The 23,062-nt window shown below is 37.5% G+C and overlaps 1 protein-coding gene across 36 annotated transcripts in view, besides 1 other annotated feature; it reads right to left on the bottom strand.

The window, feature by feature from the left end:
* PTPRM (protein tyrosine phosphatase receptor type M) overlaps positions 1-23,062 on the bottom strand; it is an 839,541-nt gene that overhangs the window by 349,139 nt on the left and 467,340 nt on the right. The gene's annotated exons all lie outside the window — the stretch shown is intronic.
* Positions 11,114-12,313: an enhancer, noted in NCBI's record as "P300/CBP strongly-dependent group 1 enhancer chr18:8045403-8046602 (GRCh37/hg19 assembly coordinates)". NCBI's record gives its function as "activates an origin of replication core promoter dependent on BRD2, BRD4, P300/CBP, MED14 and CDK7 cofactors, with strong dependence on P300/CBP, by STARR-seq in HCT116 cells {active_cell/tissue: HCT116}" and the evidence as "EXISTENCE:reporter gene assay evidence [ECO:0000049][PMID:35650434]".

Genomic DNA, 23,062 nt, shown 5'->3' with positions numbered 1-23,062 from the left:
AACAAAAAACCAAACACCGCATATTCTCACTCATAGGTGGGAATTGAACAATGAGATCACATGGTCACAGGAAGGGGAATATCACACTCTGGGGACTGTGGTGGGGTGGGGGGAGGGGGGAGGGATAGCATTGGGAGATATACCTAATGCTAGATGACGATTTAGTGGGTGCAGCGCACCAGCATGGCACATGTATACATATGTAACTAACCTGCACAATGTGCACATGTACCCTAAAACTTAAAGTATAATAAAAAAAAAAGAATAGCTAAAAAAAAAAAAAAAAAAAAAAGAAGTATCACAGTATCACAACAATGGTTGAAATATGTTTTCATTTTAAACAGAATAATTTTTTGTTGGTGTTTAGGGTTTTTGAAGTTTTAAGTAATAAAACCTTTAAAACACATTGAAAAGTACAAAATAAAACAATATTCTGTGTATCCACTAATATCAAATGTTAACATTTTATGTTTTGTTTCAGATCACTTTTTATTAAAGAAATAAAATATTACTGATATAAAATTTTGCCACCTTCCTACTTCCTATTCAAAGGTTATTATCTATCATTCCCAAACATGGTTTTGTACTTTTATTATATATATCTAGGATGCTTAAAAATTTTCAAAAATGCTACTATTTTTTGCAACATGAGATTTCATTCAATATAGCAGAGTTGAAGCTATGTTAGTTTAACTGGTGTCTAGAATTACATTAAATAAATAAAATACAGTTTACTTATCCATTCCCTTACTGCAGAAAAGATAGCTGAGTTTACCTTTTCTCTACTACAAGCAGTGCTATGAGCAGCATCTTTGTCTATACGCCCTCCTGGCCAGTTTCCCTTAGTGCATGTTAAAAGTAAGACTGCTGACTTGTAGATGTTATACATCTCTAAGTACAACAGACAATGTCAAACTTCTCTCCAAAAGAAAAACAATGTTCAGATGTTCCATTTTTTTTTTTTTTGCTAAAAAAGGCTGCATTTCAAGGCTATGGGCCTATACTGGCTCCGAAGGACAGATCTTAAAGTAATGGTTCCAGTTAAATGTAAATAAGCAAAGTCTAATGTGCATTTATCTTTTTTTTTTTTTCTTCTGAGATGGAGTTTCACTCTTTCGCCCAGGCTGGAGTGTGGTGGCACAATCTCAGCTAACCACAACCTCCACCTTCTGGTTTCAAGCAATTCTCCTGCCTCAGCCTCCTGAGTAGCAGGGAAAACAGGTGTTTGCCACAATGCCTGGCTAATTTTGTAGTTTAGAGTCGGAGTTTCACCATGTTGACTAGGCTGGTCTCGAACTCCTGGCCTCGTGATCCACCTGCCTCGGCCTCCCAAAGTGATGAGATTACAGGCATGAGCCACTGCAACCAGCCCTAATGTGCGATTATGAGTTGCATCATTTATTTGGCATAGTATTTCAAATAGAGATTTACAATACATAGAACTATTTCTTTCTTTGGCTATAGCAACTGTATTTGACAAAGGTTTATGTTAAGAATTTCTCTCAACAACCACTCATTATATCATATTATTATTGTGTTTGTATGAAAGCAAAATATTCAGACTCATCAAATAATTAGATAAATTAATAAATGAAGAATACATCCATAAAGTAATTATTACAATTTCTGATTATAACAGAATGGCATATCATTTACTCTCAAGGACTCTCCCATTTGAAAACAACTAGATCCGGTATAAGACAATTTTTTTAATTGCGTAGGATGTAGTGTGTCTCCAGCAACACCTTACACCATGTCCCTTATCCAAAACAAAGGGTAAGGTGGAACTCTAGTTGTCTATATCAGCACCGGCATCCAAAGATTAAGCCATGGGCCAGGGGCAGGGAAGCCAAATATGATGTTCTCAAGGTAATCTCATACGAATAACAGTGTGTAAAGTATCTGCAGTCAGTACCATCTCCTGATTCCAGCAAACACAAATACAAATCTTCTATAAACACACTGATACATAAATATAGGCCTCCTACTTTCACAAATAAAGCCCACCCAAATATAAGCTCACTAGTAAAGATTAACAAAAATAACAGAAAACAAGATGCCCTGACAGAGTCAAAAGAGATAAGAAACAACAGATTCACATCACTCAAATTACCAGATTCAGAATATAAAATTTGCGTGCCACTTCTAAAATTAAAAATGTAATTCTAAAAATGAACATGTAATACGTCACTGAAAATGACCAATTTTAAAAACAGCTAACGTAACTTTTAGAAATAAAAACACTGTTGAAATAAAACAAAAACCTCAATGGATAGGACATTAATTATGTACTGTATAAAACTAGACAGCAAGATTGGACACAGCTTAAGACAGAATTAGTGAAGTAGTGCATGGATCAGAGGAAATTATCTAGAATGTAGCACAGAAAAATAGAAATAGGAACATAATAGAAAATAAGAAAGGAAGATGGAGGGCAAAATTAGAGGGTGTATCTATGTCTAATTGGCATTCCAGAAGTAGAACACAGGGAATAGAGGAGAGGCACTAACTGAAGACATAATGTCTGAGAAATTTCCAGAATTGACAAGAGATATCAGTCAAAAGATACAGAAAGTATAACATATACAAAAGATAGAAAAATTAAATTCCACATTTAGACATAATGTAGTTAAACCACCAACACCAAAATAATCAAAGAGATGATCTCAAAAGCATCTAGAGAGAAAAAGCACATCACCTACAAAGTAATGGCAGATTGAACAAAGAGTTCTAGACAACAACAGTGGAAGGCAAAAAACAAGGGAACAAAATATTCAAAGTACAAAGAGAAAATATGAATATGTCAACTTAGAACTATATACGTAGCAAAACTATCATTCAAGGATCAAGACAAAATAAAGCTAATTTCAAAGAATTGTACCTGAGTGAACTTACTACCAATGAACCTGCAATAAAGGATCACCTTCAAAAAGAAAAATGAGTTTTGAAAGAAGGTCTGAGATGCTAGAAGAAATGGTGAGCAAAAAAACATAAAAACTTATGTTTGTAAAATAACAATACTGTCTAATTTTAGAGCTTTTTATATATACAGAATTAGACTGCCGACAACAAGAGCATACACACAGGTAGGGCAATGCTCAGAGTTACAGTGTTGTAAGATCTTTCCATCACTGGGAAGGGAAGTTTAAGATATCAACTATAAACTTTAAGTATGCAAGGCAAACTCTCTAGGGTAATCACTATACAGATAGCCATAGGATAATACCTTCAGTAACAAGTAACTCATCTAAAGAAAAAAAGTTATTTCAGTCAATTATGGGAAAAAAACAAAAGAAAAGAAAAAAGGCAAGGGGTGAGGGGAAATGTAGAAAAACAGGAAAAACCAGAAAGCAAACAGAAAAGTGGTACACAGAAGTCTACCACTAGTAGTAGTAATATATATATATATATATATATATTACTACTACTAGTATATATTACTACTAGTATATACTAGTAATGACAATACATGTAAATAAAATATTGTCTATTAAAATGCCCAGAGAATTAAAGGTAAAATCAACATCGTGCCATAATCTGTTTACAAAAAATAAATCTAAGCTGTTTCACTATAACATTTTCCTGGAGGTTCCATTCAGTACAGTAAGAAATGAAAAGTGTAAGAATGAAACAAGAAAAAACAGCACTTTAATTATACACAGACAATGTGACAGGCTTGGCAAACAAGCAGGACCTACAAGTTATACAAAAATAGCAAATGTCAGCAAGGTGACCAAATAGGGGATTAATTTTGAACTCCTCTGCATTTTTTGTATATTATCAAACTGAAACATTACTGAATTTTTTTCATTTACAACAAGATCAAATGATATAAGGAGCCCAGGAATAAATCTTACAAGACACCAATAACAGATAAAAATCCAAAACCTCATTGAAAGACATTAGTGAGGACCAAAATAATTGGAGTTATACCATGTTTATGAATGGGCAGACTCAATGTGGTAAAGGTGTCAGTTCTCCCCAAGCTAATCTATAGAATCACTACAATTTCAATTAAAACCTAATTAGAGTTTTAAGGAACTTGATAAATTGATTCTAAAGTAAATAAAGACGTGCAAAGGTCCCCAAACAGAACACTCCGTAGGAAGAATGAGGTAGGAAAATTTGTTCTATCAGATGCCAAGAGTTATTTAAAAGCTACAGTAACTACACAGTGTGGTGTTGCTGAAAGAACAGACATGGAGCACAACAGAAATCCTGATGTTCTATATGATAGAGGTGGTGTTTCTGATTCCTGGGGGAAACACAAGTGGTGCTAGGAGAAGTGGATTCCTACTCTGTATCATATACAAAAATCAATTCTGACTCAATTAGAAGCACAAAAACCCAAATTTAATTTTTTAAATTAAAGAATGTAGGGGATTATTTTTTCTGATTACAGGGCAAAGAAATAGTTCTTAAGCACCAACTATCAATGAAAAGCTTGATAATTTATGCTACACTAAAATTAAGAACATATTTATCAAAATGTATCATAAGGAAAGTGAAAACCTAAGCTAAAACCTTATTATTGTAAAGAAGGGAAAACAACCAAACACAATAAAGACAAATGATATAAAGAGGTATTTAGTAGAAAAGTAAAAGGCAAAGCACAGAATAGAAGACATTGGCAACCACTAAACAAACGAGAGATATTGATTATATACAGAACTTCCACCAATCACAAGAAAAAGCTGACAACTCAAAAGAAAAGTTGGTAAAAGAACAGGACTTTTGAAGAAGAGGAAAATTATAGACCACAAACGTGAAAATATGCTCAAGCTTAATACTAATCTGAGAAATGCACATTAGAGTCAAAGTAAATTCCATTCTATACCAATCAGATTCACAAAAATTAGAAAGTCTGGTAATACTGATTGTTGGCAGAATGTAGATCAATGCAATGTGTTATACATCATTAATGAGAGTGGGATTGGTACAGCCACTATGGAACACAAGTTGGCATCATCTTGTAAAGCTAACCTTAGAATACAATCCAGCTGTTATATTCTTAGGCATAAATCCTAGAATAGTATTCCTTCACTTAGAAGAATAACCTGGCAGATTTTCAAAAATACAGTCATGCATCTCCCAAAAACAGAGATACATTCTGAGAAATGGATTGTTAGGTGATTTCATTGTGTGAACATCATAGAGTGCACTTACCCAAACCTACACAGTAGAGCCTACTCCACACCCAGGCTATAGGGTGCCACCTACTGCCCCTAGGTTACAAACCTGAAGAGCATGTTTCTGTATTGAATGTTGTAGGCAACAGAAACACAGTGGTAACTATTTTTGTATCTAAACATAGAAACGGTACAGTGAAAACATGGTATTATAATCATATGGGACCACAGTGGTATATGTGGTCTGCGGTTGACCAAAATGTCATTATGCAACACATGACCCTATAAAACTCTCTAGGCCTCATCCCCAGAGACTTAGATTTGTTGGGCCTGTGATGAAGCCCCAGAATTTGTATCATAAGAAGCAGCCTGGGTGATTCTTGTCATCAGAGAAATTTGAGAAAGAGCCTAGAGCCCTGCTATTCAAAATAGTGTTGGTTCTCACACCAGCACAGCAGCATCGCCTGGAAGCTTACTAGGAATGCAGATACTCAGGCCCTACTTCTGACCTCCTGAAGCTGAATCTTCACCTGCACACTGAAGTTGGAGAAGTTCTGTCTTGGAGGAGTGTTTTTTCAGAGTGCAGGCTGTATCCCTAGGTCATATCACAGTGGCATTTGTTTTAATGAAAGAGAATAGAAAAGAAACATGAAAATGGATTTTAAAAGATATGGATTGTATCATGTAATAACCATGTAACAACGAAAATACATTTCATGCTGCATCTAAAGGGTTTGAAAAATGCATTCCTAGAGAAATTCTTCCCACTGGGCTCCAGGAGACATGTGCAGAAATGTCTTTACCAGCATTATTGTCAAAAGAATAAAAAAGAAAAGCAAGGAAACAATCCAAATATTTACTGAGCCAAAAGCAGATAAATATCCCTACAATGGAAAGTTAGACTACAGAATTAGCTATGGCTATGAGCTATAATGTGTTTCAGAAACACATTATATTGAATTAAAAAAACAAGTCCCACAGGACTACTATGATGCAATCTTATAAACCTGAAAAACATGCAAAAGGAAATGGTTTAAGAATACATACGTATGCGATAAAACTATTTTAATAACAATGTAAGAGAAGAGCAAAGGAAAAATTTACATAAAAATGAAGATATTGGCTACCTCTGTTCTGGAGACACAGGGATAAAATGAGCAGAAGACTACAGTTAGGGGAAAAGGTTCTAGAAGTATTCTGTTTTTAAGATGGGAAGTTGATTATTGTTATGCTGCACAATTTATGTAGGTTACGTATGTCCTTTTGTTTGTATCAAATATTACATAACTTCAGAAAACATTATTATAGGAAAGGCATGAATATCCTAGAAAGATTGTTGGCTCTTTGAGATTTCTTTTCTGGATAACAGTATATCTTGGTTCTTCTGAGAGAGGTACAATGGTTACTACCAGGCAAACTTAACTTACAGGAAGCAAGATCATACGTCATTAAAGATTCAGCAGTTCCACAGATACCCCCACGGGATGGAGTCCTGTGACTTGAAAAGAATTACAAAGCCCCCTCTTTCAAAACACACAGTAATAGGCTTCCTACCAGTAATATTCTTATCCCTGAAACTAGACCTTGGTTCCTAAAAGCTGAGCCTCAGGCCTGAGTGCAGCCTGGCTCTGACACTTGGGTACAGTTGTTGCTCCCCCTCCCCTCACCCAAACTTCTGAATCTCATTCTTGGAAACTTAGTGCTAGATATGAAATGGAACTCAGGGCTGTCACATCAGGAGGAAGAGAGCAGTCAGGCAGGTTACCATCCAAGGCCACAGCTAACCCACATTGTACCTCTGTGCAATTAGAAAAGAGAGCCCGCCCCTTCCTTCCTCAAGACACTTATTTTCATCTGTTGGAAAACTGCCACAAAAATACACAAATCTACGAGGTTTATGTTTATGTAAGTTTCATGATAAAAAGATACACTTTCTACTTGATATACGTATATGCTGTGCACACTGAAAGTCCTTAGAGAATATATTTATAATTAACAATTTCAGAACTTATGATGAATCAAGCCTACGAAAGTGAATGTACTATGAGGTATGCATGTTGACAGGAGTGTATGAGTGTATGGAGGGTTTTTTTTTTTCAGGAAACTAATACCACTTATTCACTAATCAGAGTTCAATATTCATATTCATATTCATACTTAAACTACATTTTCTCCAAGGTTCATAGTCTAGTTACTCCCCGCTAACTTATCTGTCCCTCCAGCCACTGCCAGAATGCCTTCCTGATGTGACAGTTCATCTGCAACAATCAAAGGACTTCTAATTCATGCTCTTATCGTCTGACCGAAATAAAGCCTTTCCATTATTACGTCACAACTATCAAAGAGATCACAGAACCCTTCTTGCTTTCCATACCAGTCAAGCAAATCTATCTGCTGTACTTCAAATAAGGTTCTCCCTCCAAAATTAATATCTCTGTTCAGACTGATCCAATATGCATACAGTGGCAGCCACCTTTTAATCTGCCAAAAAGTAGCCTTCAGTTCCTTTCAGTCTTGGTTCAAAATCAAATCCCTTTATGACTATTCCTTCTTAGTTGCAATAAAAACTCACAGACTTGGCTGGGCGTGGTGGCTCATGCCTGTAATCCCAGCACTTTGGGAGGCCGAGGTGGGTGGATCACAAGGTCAGGAGTTTGAGACCAGTCTGGCCAACATAGTGAAACCCTGTATCTACTAAAAATACAAAAAAATAGCTGGGTGTGGCGGTGTGTGCCTATAGTCTCAGCTACTCGGGAGGCTGAGGCAGGAGAATCACATGAACCTGAGAGGCGGGGGTTGCAGTGAGCTGAGACTGCGCCACTGCACTCCAGGCCAGGCGACAGTGCAAGATTTCATCTCAAAAAAGAAAAAAAAAAAACCTCACAGACTTTCATGGACTCACATGGTCAAGATCCCAGTATATATATATATATGTTTATTATGTTTCTCTATGTCTTACTGCATTCTGTAACCATCAAGTTACATATCTCATCCCATTAACATGAATCTTTATCCTGGAAAATGCCTACATTTGTTAATCAACATATTTGGTAAAAGGATACTAGCACAATATAATATATAGCGAACATTTAGATCATAAATCAACTCTTTGTCTCATAAATCAACTCTAGAAATATCTCCTTTTCTGCAGTATTTACCTATTTTCTGTGAAAAGCCTTTCCAAGTTTCTGTGTTGTGACTCACATCTCTGTTGTGCTTTTCTGTTTTAAGGAAGTCACACAGGCACTATAAACAAGGATTTCACTCACCACTGGAACTGTTCGGTTTTTGCTTGAGCTCCTTGGTGACATTTCCAAAGTGTAAAGTTCATCACTATAGAAGGAGCACCACTGCTACACTCAAAATTAGAATCTTGAATTGTTTCTATACAGTGGAACAAACAGGCTGCAATTCATCCTATAGATGAACTTTACAAGGAAACTGTTGTATGAAACAAATATGAGTCTGCAGTGAAAGACTTCCTTGATATTTATTTCAGACTATATAAAACAGGAGGAGGCAAAATGATTTTCACAGAGTTTTTCAGAACTGTCAAAAATTGGTTTGGAATGGGTTTTGACCTTTTGTAACCCTCATAAAGCTATGATATCCACAAAAAGCCTTGGAAGTTTGGAACTGATATTTTACCCGGAACTGATATTTTACCCAGGGCAAAAGAGAACCCAAACCATTCACTCTTTGCTACAGAAGTAATGTAATTAGTGATGAAAAAAGTGAATCAAATACAATTTCAGTTTTGCCCAAATGTAACTATTACCTCTAGTTAATACTAAGCAGATAAGTGTTACTTAAAATATTTTTACCTGTTTAGAGCCTCCTATTTTGGTATTTACAATCTTCTTATGATTAGATAGTTTTCTATTTGAAGTTGTTTACAAGTCTACGCAAATGGTTTCACAAAAGACCACACTCAACTCTGCTAGATTGATGGCTATACTGTAATTATTCTTCTGTGTTTTCACTACCAACTTTTTTTTTTTTTAAAAAAGACTTCCTCAATTTAAAAGAGCCTATGATTGATAAGTTAGTTCTTATTTTAAACCTAGGTTTTCCATCCTGCTAATCTTCCAGGGAAGCTTGGGGAATGAGATGACAGAAAACTCAGTTTCAATAGAAGAGTGTGTTCTCAGCACCCCACTGACAACTGGAATGGCAGGGCAGGAGGAGGTATGCTATGGAAAAAATGAACCCGCCACTTTTATTTTAAAAAGATAGAAAGAAGGAAAATACAGGTTCTAACTTGAAATTATTTCTGTTACAAATAAAACAACTTAAGAAAAAAAAAAGCTTGCTCCTTAATAAAGAGCAGTTTACCTCTCTGCTGAATTATCTCCTTATTTTGCTACCAAATTTGTTCCATTTTAATGTCAATTTTTCCCTAAACATAGTTTTTGTGTGGGATCAACTCCATTTTCCCACCAATGTCAGACTACTTTGCAATACTTTTCTATCTCTCTCAAGCCTAAGGTAATCTGAGTAAGCTCAATTTGCTGATTTAAAAAATACAAAGGCAATGTAGATGTTTTTCATTGTTTTCCTGGAAGCCAGGGAATCAATCATTTATTTACTGAAAATGGACGGATTCATACTCACTTACTCTAACACTCTTGGAGGCCTATCATCTGTTCCGTAGTCCTTCAAGAGGAGTCTATTACATGTATTTATGAATGGCTACCCCAAACTTCCTTTCCAAATTAACTTTGGTCTCAAGTCCATAGCACTCAACTGGAAAAAGTTCCAGACATCCTTGATCTTCACAGTCCACCAACATGAGGAGAGTGTGGGTTGCACAGCCCCAGGAGTCCCTGGCCAATTCATCCACGTACCACACCCATCTTACCCTCTTCCCTCTAGGTTCTGACATTCAGCTATCTTGGTGGGAGGCTGGGGAGCACTATTGGGGATGAGGGTAAGGTGGAGTTTTATAAAGCTCTCCAGGTGACTCAGAGACCACCCTCATTCCACCTGGTCACAAATCCCTGAATGGGAAACATGTACACACATATACTGTATTACTAATTTAACACCTAGAGAAAGTGCATTGTGTGACTGATATAAAACAAGACATTTTTGTTCTTTGGTGCTATCTTCTTTTTCAAAATTTGCTATTTTTGTAGGTATTACTTTCTTGAATACAATAACAATGTAACTGTCACAAAATAAGAATTATCATATAGCTAATTCTTCATTAAACTTATAAAAATGAATCACAGTTTGATGTGCATATCTTTCATTTTTAATTGTTTATTTGCCACAAAAATTTTTTTTATTACTACCAAGTATGTTTCCTTGAAATACTGCTTAGAAGTGGCCTAAAAACTATGGAATACATTGAATCATCTTAATAAGGTAAAGCATTCATTTGCCATCTAGTGTTCCATTTAATTTAAAATGCTCATGATTCTTACCGTGTTGAAAATTAACTAAAAATTTTCATGAGGATCTACAGCTATTAATTCTAATGGGTTATAGATATGATAAATAACTTAAAAAGTCTTAGTTTCGTTCATTCTTTCTGAAGTTGAATTCTCAGGGAAGAATCAAATCTTTCAAATTAAGAAAAAACCTTTATTTGGTCTAGTGGTCACTTGAAGTTCTAGACACCTTCTCGCTTATTAATACCTTGTTGCAAGAGTACATGGTGGGCAGATGTTGCGGGGAACACTCCCTGAGCAAGTGTGGGGAGGTGGTGATGCTTAGCTTTGAGTTGGAGGTCCAGGAGTATGGATGGGTCTGGAGGACAGCCATATAGTATTATTAATATCTCATTTATGCCATGAATGATGCAACTGCACAAAGTCAATCTGACCACACTGGGAATACTGGGGAATGCTGGCCCCTGAAACTAGATCTTCTTGTGAGGAAGGGGAAGGCAGGGAGAATAAATGATGTCATGGAAAAAAATGTAATAGATTCAAGCACGGAAACCACATCAAGGAGGACCCAGAGACACACGGACTGGGGCCCTGGGGAGGGGCTGGGATAGGGAATCATACTTCGTCCCTGACCGCTCCCTCCCTCCCCTGCTGCAAGTTGGGAACTGATTTAAAAACATCAACGCAACAGTGCTGACACAGGATGGATACAAGATAGAAAATAGATGCAAGATACACAGAGGGTAAGTGGTATACTCAGCTATGCATTAATATGTGGAGGTTTTAGAAGGTCAATAAATAACTGTCTTCTCTTTCAGGTTCTCAACTGAGAGATACATATACCTACTGATTTTAGACAAGTGAAGATTTCACTAATATCAGACTTTTTTACTGTATTAGTCTGTTCTCATGCTGCTATGAGGAAATACCTGAGACTGGATAATTTATAAAGAAAAGAGGTTTCATTGACTCATAATTCTGCATGGCTGGACGGTTGGGGAGATCTCAGGAAACTTACAGTCATGGCAGAAGGTACCTCTTCACAGGGTGGCAGCAGAGACAATAAGTGCCAGAAGGGAAATGACAAGCACTTATAAAACCATCAGATCTCGTGAAACTCACTCACTATCATGAGAACAGCATGGAGGAAACCGCCCCCACGATCCGATTACCTCCCCATGACACTACCCTTGACACGTAAGGATTACAATTCAAGATGAGATTTTGGGTGGAGACACGGCCAAACCACATCAATTACTGACATATGCGACTGAAGAAAAAAGACTTGATTTGTGGAAGTCTGCTATTACAATCATTCTTAGTTTTCCTCACTTAAGTCCCTTTTTTCAACATCTTTTTGAGCTATAGTTAATATGTCATAAAATCCACCCATGTAAAGTGTACAATTCAATGGTTTTTAGTACATTCACAGACCTGTGTGACCATCACCACAATCTATGTTTGGAACATTTCCAAAAAGAGATTCCACATCCATTAGCAGTCACTCCCATTTCCCACAACCATCACCACCCTGTGCCCTTGCAATAACTAATCTACCTCCCACCTCTACAGATTTTCCTACTCTGGGTATTTCATATAACTGGAATCATACAAAATGTGGTCTGTTGTAACTGGCTTCCTTTTACTCAGCACAATGTTCCCAAAGTTCATCCATGTTGTAGCATGTAGCAGACTTCACTCCTCTTTATTGCCAGGCAATATTCCACCGGGTAGACATACGACGTTTTGTTAAGCCATTCATCAGTTGATGAGAACTATATGTTGTTTCCACTTTTTGGCCATTATGACAAATGTTGCTGTGAACATTCGTGTTTAAGTTTTGTTTTGAGACAGTCTCACATTGTCACTCAGGCTGGAGTACAGTGGTGCGATCACAGCTGACTGCAACCTCCGCCTCCCAGGCTCAAGTGATCCTCCCACCTTGGCCTTTTGAGTAGCTGGGACCAGACGTACATGCCATCACGTCCAGCTAATTTTTGTATTTTTTATTAGAGATGGAATTTCACCATGTGGCCCAGGCTGGTCTTAAATTCCTCAGCTCAAGTAATCAGCCTGCCTTGGCCTCCCAAAGTGTTGGTATGACAGGCGTGAGCCACCATGCCCTGCTTACATACAAGTTTTGTGTGGACATATGTTTTCACATGTGCTAGGTATATTCTTGGGTACCTAGCTAGAAGTAGAATTACTGGGTCAGATGGTATTCTGTCTAACCATCTGAGGAACTGTCAGACTGTTTTATGAAGTGGGTGTATTATTTTACATTCCCACCAGCAATATACGAGGGATTCAATTTTTCCACATCCTGGCCAACACTTATTATTTTCCATATTTTTTTATAGAAATCCTAGTGGGTATAAAGTTGTATCTCATGGTTTTTGTTTTTATTTTCTGTTTTTTCTTTTTTTTTTTTTTTTTGAGACAGAGTCTTGCTCTGTTACCCAGGCTGGAGTACAGTGGCATAATCTTGGCTCACTGCAACCTCTGCCTCCTGGGTTCAAGCGATTCTCCTGCCTCAGCCTCCCGATTAGCTGGGATTACAGGCACCTACCATCATGCCCAGCTAACTTTTGTATTTTTAGTAGAGATGGGGTTTCACCATGTTAGCCAGGTTGGTGTGGAACTCCTGACCTCAGGTGATCCGCCCGCTTTGGCCTCCCAAAGTGATTACAGGCACAACATGTTTATCATTGTGCCCGCATGTCTTGATTACTGCAACTGCGTAGTGAATCCACTCTTGAGTCATATTTACACATCCTCCATTCACTAGATGATCCAAGCACTCTGCACTCCCACCTAGGGATGGTTAATTTACCTCTAGTTGCAGAAAAGAGCATTTGTGTCCCGTGGACAATGCCCAGAAGAAACAGACTGAATATCTTCGGTTCCCTTTTCAAATGTCATCTATTCAATGAATCATTTTTCTCATAGGGTGAAGTGAGAGCTTACCAAGATTCTCCCCTTGAACAAACTCTTGTCAGGCCCCAATGAGCTCTCTTGTTGACTAGGCCTCAACCCTGGCCTATAAAGACTTGAACAAACACTAACACAGTTTCTAAAAGCTCGAGGCTTCATCTGTAGGATGATCCTAGCCCCTCTGAGAGTGCCTGCCTGAGAAAACTCCAGACAGAGAATTTGTTGTTTGTTCCGTGGCAATCACTTGAAGATAGGGCTCCCTGACTCCCAGTCTTAGAGGGTGCAGAAGCCCGGTCTCTGCCAAAGAGTAGAAACTTAACTTCTATAAGCACTAGCTAACAAACCCAGATGGTTTCACATGGATTAACCCTCCCTTTCTGCTTTTTATAATTTTTCATTTCCCTGACTCTCCTGAGACCCAGCTCGCCCCCTCCCCTTCCTACTCCCTCATTCTCATTTATAAATGCCCAGTCCTCTCTGCACAGATCAAGGGTGACCTTAGATCATGCTGGACTCTTTTCCCCACTTCAATAATTATCACTTTAACTAGTGTCCAGCTTTGTTTATGTTTGATAGGAAGCAGGAGAGGGAAGAGGGTTGGGGAGGTGGCCCTGACTTCTCCATGGAAGCATCAGGATTGTAGGATAAACATTCCTCCCAACATGGAGAACAACGTGAAAAAGAAGTGAAAAAAAAAATACCTAACTAGCATACCTCAAAAAAACAGCATCAGTACACTCAAGTCTCATTTCTAATGTAAACTTAGAATAGCAAGCATATAATAAAGATACTACCATAGGACCAAATAATTGAAAGAGGGCAGAAACAATCCAGGCAGAGTGGACCATATTGATGAAGATATAATGTCAGGGGATCACACAGCCTGTCTGGGCAGCAGACTAAAACTGCGGCTTCAGGTTAACATTAAGAAATTCTACCAGTGACTAAGAAGCTCCCAGGCAGGGACTAGAATCTGCGGCACATACTAGGCATACTACTAAGAAAGAGGGCCAGGTACCACCATAGACAGGCACCTTGTTGCTTGGTAGGGCTAATAAGTTAGGATCTGATCTCCTCATGTATCACCAAGATAAAACAGGCTATACAGGAACCAGAAGCAAGGGAACTAGGTGCTGAGCTGTATGTTCTCTTCACATCTCCCTTGCATGAGGTCAGCAAAGGGCCTGAAGACAGTACAGGATTATGCCTACTGAGCCCAGTGTGCCCAGCTGTGGGGAACAGAGGGCTGAGGACCTGGGAAGCAGACACAATAAGCAGCTGTAGGCGGTTGAGACGGAGTGAAGAGGGGAAGCCTGCAGAAAAGGGGGAGTTGGAGGGTCTACAGGGGGAACTGTCTTGGCGATGAGTACATGAGGCCTGGACCAAGAAAATGGCAACATGAGAAACAATCCATGGGCTGTGATCAATTAGCTGGGCAGGTGTACAGCAGGAAGGTGGGAAAAGGGACAGGAAAAAGACACCCAAAAAGCTAGCTCAAACTGAAGGCAGTATTGCCAGGACAGGGGACAATGGGACAAGAGCCTAGGCTGAGATGCCTCCCACTGCTTGCTGCTTGAGATATCCTCAAAGGACACCCAGCATGTCACTTACACTAGATCTGAAGCTCAAGGGTAGGGGAGAAGGAGTCAGAGGTTATGTGATTGTTCAAGCCAGCAACATAGATGGCAATTCCAAGAAAAGCATTTAAAAAGAATAGAAGGATATTGAAAATGACCGCATTTGCTGTAATAAAGTGCAGTTTATTTTAATTTTGTTTTTCTTTTAAGATTCTTCAAGGCATCTGCCCTCTCATATGAAACTGACAGTAATAAGATATTAAGAGTTATAATTTTTAAACCATTCATTCTTTGATATATGCCATTTTCAATATATTATTTTACAATACGTTTTACTTAAATTTTAAAAGAAGATAAATACGTTTTTAGTCAAGTGAAGAATTTTTAACTCTGAACTAAAGCCAACTGCTATTCAGATTTTTATATTTGGTACATACTTAATAGTTACACATTTTAGAGAATGCCTCATTTAAATTCTAATGTATTTTAATAAGCAATGAAAAAAATCACTCAGTATATATTTTTTCTTAAATTACCCCAGTGCTTGATTACTCCTCCACAATCAAAATCATCTTAAATATGAATGATACAAAACAAGACTACAGCCTGAATGTCTAACACAGAGATTTTAGCTGCTTGTTTAAGATGACATACCTAGCTATTCAGTAATCACTTTATAATAACCCCTTTCATTTCCAAATCTACTTAGCCATCAGCCTGCAGTGAGGAAAAAGCTGGCAGCAGTTTTTACAACTGCACATTAGTTTTACATTTCATGACAAGCTAATTCTAGAGAGTTCTAAAGAGAGACAAGCATGGGCCCTTGTGATTTTCTTTCCCTTGCATGAAGGAAACATGTGTCTAGCTGATAAATGAAAGATAAAAGAGTATAGACATATACTTTTCACTTCACCCTTGTGGCAGTGACAGTTTGCCCCACTGCACCCTAGGTGCCACAATACAGATGTAAGTCAACAAAGAGTAACTAAGTCTGACGATTGTTCATCTGCTTAAGCCAACTCAAGCTCTACTGTGGGGACTTTGAATCCCAACCACAAGTGGACTTAATCATAGTATGGCCAGCTTTTCATAAGAAGTTCTGGGTATAAATGCTGCACAAACACACTGCAGGACATTGCTTACACATCTTATAAGAAAGAAGATATAACCACACTGTAGTAGAAATGACAAATATGCTTGGCCTTTTTTTTTTCTTTTGGTCACACATGGTGCATCTCAGTGCAGACTAACTCAAAGTCATGCCTTTAATGATGCCTTAATTAACTTCAAAGCCCCACCAAATGTCAAGTGTGTGTCTATATACCACCAAGGAGCTGAAAGAGTAAAATGGCTTTCACGGCACTATTTAATCCAATCCATGATCCACACCTGAGCAATACTTTAAGCTCTTGGCTTAGGCTTTTAAGGTTGCCATGAATTTCACCTGGTAAAATGATAAACCATGGTATCAATCTTCACAGATGTTAGTAGCTCCATCCTTGAGCAAAGCCAGGCATAGATGTTGTTTATAATGTGGTACAGAAATAAATGGGATATGCTATTTCATACATCAGTCTGAAGAAGATGTAGAAGGACGTTCCTGCTATCACTGCATTCTATAGCTGCTGACAAACTGCATTAATTCCAAGTCATTACCACCAACAATGTTGGCTAAATGGAGAATGCGAGACAAGACTTTACTGAACCCAAGTGACAAGACTGCATGGTCACATAAATATATGCTAAAGAAATGTTATCAACTAATGCTGCATGGCTAAATAGCAGAGTTAATTTTTTAAAAATGGAGAGATTCTGATTGGTGTAATCAACTTGAGCCAAGGAATATAGGATGAAATCAATTTTAGCAAGTTAACTCTCAAATGCAGAAACTGATAAATGAACAACATTCTCCAGATAAACTGGTGAAATAAACTTTGAACTGCTCAGTGCATCCAGGTCCAGAATGAACAGAAATAGCTCTCTCATCGAACAATTATATGTTTACTGTTTTAAATATCTGACAACAAGGCACAATAGAACACAGAAGTGAAAATTTAAAAACTTGAGATTAAAAGGTAGCAAACGACAAGAAACTCACTTGTAGTTTTTTACTGAACCTTCTTTTTCTAGTTCCTCACATAAAAATACATATCACTGTTTACAAACAAATCTGTGATTCTGTTCTTTAAATCTTACCGCTTTCAATGACCTTGAACTATACCTTATTCCTTTAACTTCAAATCAGCTTCGATTTGACACATAACTTTAATAATTGCACCCATACCATGAGCCCAATGCAACCTTACACTTTGTCATACCCAACCATCCTACAGGAAGCAGGATTAGTGCCCCTGGACCTGGGTAATCACCCAAATAGAAAAATAATTCTCAATGGGAAGATGACTAGGATGAGAGTGAGAACAACAGGCTTCATGCTTGGCTGCACATAACAAGCATAGATATGTGGTAGACACTCTAAGAAAGCATGCCAGCCAGAACTTCTTTACCCTCCACATGCTCAAACACAACACACCCAGAAGTCTTCACATGGGATGCATCCAATCATCTACTTCTGGGGAAATCAACCCTGAAAGGCTTCATTTCTTCCATCTCATAAAATGACTACTTCTTTGGTAAAGCCAAGAACAAAAAATATTTGAAATGTCTAACCGTAACTTGTTCTATTGGTTTACAATATGCTGTTTGCAATATATCTGAAAAGGTTTTTGTTTTCTTAATTGGGGTTTTCAATTATTTCTGAGCAGGGCCCAGGTATCCATGCATATGAAAAGGTCCTTCTCATAATTTTAAAGGTTCAAGAACTTCTCCAGCCTTATCTACATGGCCTGTCACCTCTAAAAATCTTCTATCCTGGAAAATAATAAATAGGGATCTATAATTTTAGTTAGACATGGGAAATAACTGCAAGAGATCTACTGTACAACATGATGAATGTAGTTAATGACAATGTATTCTATACTTGAAAATCGCTGGGAGAGTAGATTTTAAGTATTCTCACTACAAAAAAATGATGTATGAGAGGTGATGTATATCATTTTGCTTAACGTAGCCATTCCACAAGGTACACACATTTCAAAGCATGTTTTATACCATACATATGTAATTTTTGTCAATTTAAAAATGTTTAAAACGAAAAATACGGAACTTAGCAGGTATCAAATACCACATTTTAAATAATAAAGATAATCCCTACCATTTTTTGAATACTTATTATAGAATCAAACAGTATTCTAAACTGGTATACTTAAGTATTTTTAAGAAAAACAAGTATAAAAGCAATGATTCTAAAACAACATTTAAACTTTGTGGAAATATTAAGATTAAGATGGATCTCCTTTAATTTTTATTAAAAAACAAATCTGAACAAGTATTATATTGTTGAGGAGAGAAATACAGTAATCTGTAAAGGTTCCTACAACTTTTTATGAAGCTTCATTTTCTTATGCATGGTTTATATGCATATAAAATAATATATAAGATTTAACAGGTATTTGCAATTCTGACAACTGCATTTTATTAACTTTCAAAGGCTGGTTTCTAGATAATAAATCTGGTATATTCTAATAATGCAAGTATTAAAAATCTCTTACAGAATTATGAATTTGGTAATTACTTCTGAGTTGCATAAAATCATAAAATGTATCAGGTTTTCTCTAATATAATTCTGGCAAAAAAAAACCCCTGAAAATAGTTCCAGTTATTTACTAATATTCAGACCAATTCAAGATGTTCCAAACGCTTTACTATGGATTATGCTCCTAGAACTAACTCTAACAACTATCCCAATTCTGGCTATGTGCGTACTTCAATCATGTTGCAGTTTCCAGAATTAAAACTGGGGTAGGGGTAAGACAGAGACTTGCATAATAACAATCAAGAGGCTGACTAAAGGGCTGCTGGAAATACTATGAACACTGTGACTATAAGATGCTTGGAAATACGGCTATGTGCTTAAAAACCTAAAAAGCTGGCAAGGCACAGTGGCTCACGCCTGTAATCCCAGCACTTTGAAAGTCCGAGGTGGGTGAGTCACTTCAGGCTAGGAGTTGGAGATGAGCCTGGCCAACAAGTTGAAACCCCGTCTCTACTAAAAATACAAAAATTAGCCAGGCATGGCGGTACACGCTTGTAATTCCAGCTACTTGGGAGGCTGAGGCACAAGAATCACTTGAACCCAGGAAGTGGAGGTTGCATTGAGCTGAGATTGCACCACTGCACTCCAGTTTGGGCGACAGAGTGAGACTCTGTCTCAAATAACACCAAAAAAAAAAAAAAAAAAATCTAAAAGCTAATTGAGGAAAAAATAAAAACAAAACCCAGAAAGCTGGGTTTTTAAAACTGCACAGGTTCCTGTCTTCCTCCTACCCTCTCAACTGTTTCTCACTAAAACCAATGAAAATATGATTAATATGACAATTAATTTTGTTCTAAATTCCAGAGATCAAGTCCATTTCAGGGGTAAATCTGAAGATACCAGGGTTAGAGCACAGTCCAGTGGAAGACAGAGATAGCCACGTGTCTCTATTCTAAAAGATTCACAAGTAGTATTTGGGGAGACATCTTCATTCATTCAATAAATAATAATTGAATATGCACCATAAGTTAAGAGGTGATATAAACATGAAAAGACAAGAAGCTCAGAGTCTATTACAGCAGTCAAACATAAATAATTTTAATATACCATAAGAACTGCAAAAGTAGAACCATGTTCAAGGTCAAAGAGTGACACATAAAGAGGAGGAAAACACCAAAATTATTAGATAAACATCACTGATCAGGAGCTAACATACAACACTATGGCTCGCACCTCTGCACCCTTCCATATGCTTTTTGGGTGTGTGGATTTCTTACTAGTCCATCACGATCTCAGACCTTGTCTTCTGCAGATTAGCAGAGTTCTACCACCCAATCCACACTCAGCCTTTAGAGAGCACCCCAGAATTAAGGAAATTAACTCACTTAAGATTTTACAAATCAGAATTGGACTGAGAAAAAAAAATAATCAGAGGATTGGAAACTAAAAGATTTGTGAAGCTAGGATATTAGAGAAAGTATATTTACAGGAATTCAGACTGTTTTATTCATATATACATTTGACTCATTTCTCAAAATGAGCAATTTAGTACCTCAAGAGAAATGGGTATTTTCAATAACTGCAGTTAACTCAATATAGGCTTCTCACACTTAAGATGTTGAATCAGCAACAGAAGGAGGACAGTATACTGTCTCATTAATTAAATAGTAAAATCACGTTTAAAAAGGAAAGGGAGACTTTTCAAACATCTAAAGAAGCCATTATCTGAAGCAGAAAATATTTTTCCTCACAAACACATTTCTGAGAGCCTGGAATTTAGTAAAGATATAAGAAATTTATTTCCTGTAAAGTGGATGAGAAAAAGATGTGCTAATTGTAACTAATGAAGGTATTAAGTGTGAGGAGAGGCCACAAAGCTACTATAAGAAAAAGCACAGGGATTTTGAAGAAACCTTTAGTCTGAGAAGACAGCCCTAAAAATAGACTTTTCTCCTTATCTTAGATGTTTTATTCAACTTCATATATTACTTATAAACAACACCAGATCATTCTGTCCAGATCATTCATTTCTGGCTGAGAGACTCATTTGCTTAGGGAATGATTTCTTTCATAAAACAAGGAGCCCATGATCCCAGTTCAGAAGCAGAGGAAGTTCATTAAGCATAAACCTTAGGACCGATAAACACCCAGTAAACAGCAACTTTCCTGCATTTAAAATTTATGCCACTGTGGACATGAGAAAAACTGTATTTACATCATCAGTTGTAAATAAGGCCATCTTTGAGCCACAACAACACATATCCAATTTGGATATACCCACATTACATGTGCACTCAAGCGAAGCGCCCAAATTAAGTCTTCAATGTTGCAGGAGCTCAGGTAACAGGGGAGGAAATGGTGCAGAAGTCAGAGAGTGCCTGAGAGATTTGCCTGGTTCTGCAAACTGGTCTTAAATCTAACCATGGTTAACAACATCTCTGAGAAAGCATAACTTTTAATCTGTGTATAGCTGAGTGCCCACACATTACATTCTGTCCACAAAAATTCATTGTGTGCTGCAGTCAAAATAATAGTCACTTGGGAACAAAGTACTATCAATTTACCATTTTTGCACCTTAGCCAATCCTCCTCCCTTGAGGAACTTATATAGCTAGAGAAACTGAGTAGAAAAAGAGGTCTTCTACCTACAGCCTGGGTTCCCACTGTTTTAGTGTTAAAAAGGAATGAAGGACAATTTAATACAACTACTTACCCAACGCATAAGCACCTCTATAAAAATCTCTAAAAGGTTACTTTGCCTTCTGTCTCAGCATGCATTGCCTTGGGGCAGTAGATGCTGTTTGGGACAAATCAGAGTGTAGAACATTTTCTATTGTGCCAGAACAGCCTCCTTGAACCAATTCATTTTTACTTTGAAACCAAACACAATAATTTTTATCCTTCTGTTCCCCGGAGTTACCCCGACGCCATGTGAGGAGCTATCATGATCCTCCAAGTCTTCCTTTCTCACAGTAACCACCACCAGTTGATGCAACCTCCAGCATGATGTGGCTACTCCGCCTGAAACTATCCTTCTTTGTTGTATTTCAATAATATTTGGAGTGTTTACTCCATTTTGACACCTCATTCTTACTGAGGCATAGGTGCTCTAAGATACTCAGTAAGATATACACTGAGGCATAATAAATATGTCAGTATTATAAAATCATTTCAAGTAGCTTATTTCCTTATTCACCTTGAACCTCAATTTTTAAAAAACAGGGTTGTTAAAAAATAATCGAGATACAAAATACTGTGCATATTTAATGTATACAATGTGATGAATTTGCATATATCCATGTGCTCCTGTACCACAATCAAGGTAATAAACATGTCTGTCATCTCCAAAAGTTTCCTTGTACCCCTCCAGTTTGTGTTTATTTCTTTTGTGGAGAGAACACGTAACATGGGATCTGTCCTCTTTTTATAGGTACAGTCAGCCCTCCGTATCTGCAATTTCTGCATCTGCGGATTCAACCAACCTCGGTCCAAAAATATTGGGGGAAAAAAACAATAAAAATAATACAAATAAAAAATAATATAGTATAAGAACTATTTACATAGCATTTACATTGTATTGGGTAATATATACAATCTAGAGATGGCTTAAAGGCTATGGGAGGGTGTGCACATGGCACACCACTTTATATCAGGGACTTGAGTAGCTGCAGATTTTGGTGTCCTGGTGGGGAGGAGGGGGGCAGTCTTGGAACTAATCCCCCCTGGATACTGAGGGATGATTATATTTTTTCTGCATGATTTGCAGGTTATTTTTCTTCACAGATAGAATAAATCTAAGAATTAAACTTTTTATTCAATTTAGCTGAAATTTCCAAGCCAAATTTTGAAGATGCAGCCTGGTTTCTCATTGCTGCTTATAATAAAATGGAAGTGGAAAAGAGACGAATTGAGAAACTATTAAGCCAAAGACATCAGCATTTGATAGTTTGGAAGATTCTCGGCTATCCAGATTGCAAAGGATATTAAAATTAGGCTGTCCACTGTGGGGAAAGGTGCTCTGGAGAGAGGGTCAAGGGAATGGCTGGACAGCCCTTTGCTAAGGGGATTATGTGTGTGACTCATGGATCCAATCAGCCATGTCAGCAGAAGCCAGGAATAAGAATGGGGTTATCCTTGAAAATTCCATGGAGGCCTCTCTTGTCTAATGACCTGGATCCTCTAACATACACAGGAGACCCACTAGGCTTATGAAAATGTTGTATCAGCACAAACACTACCAGCTTGGACAGAATGAGGACAGAGACAGGATGAGATGAAGGAAGGCTGTTAGACTTCCGGAATTCTACAGGAAGAAAACAGGCTGATAGAGCCACTTGGCTGAAAATATATACTATTGTTCAAGGAAAAGGAAAACAATCCCTAGGGGAGAGCCTTGAGCCCAGAAGCAGAAGCCGGCAGAACTGTGAGCCC

The sequence above is a fragment of the Homo sapiens genome, chromosome 18, assembly GCF_000001405.40.
Source record: "Homo sapiens chromosome 18, GRCh38.p14 Primary Assembly".
NCBI lineage: Eukaryota > Metazoa > Chordata > Mammalia > Primates > Hominidae > Homo > Homo sapiens.
Note: the sequence above shows the minus strand (reverse complement) of the source record. Positions and strands in the feature narration are given on the sequence as shown.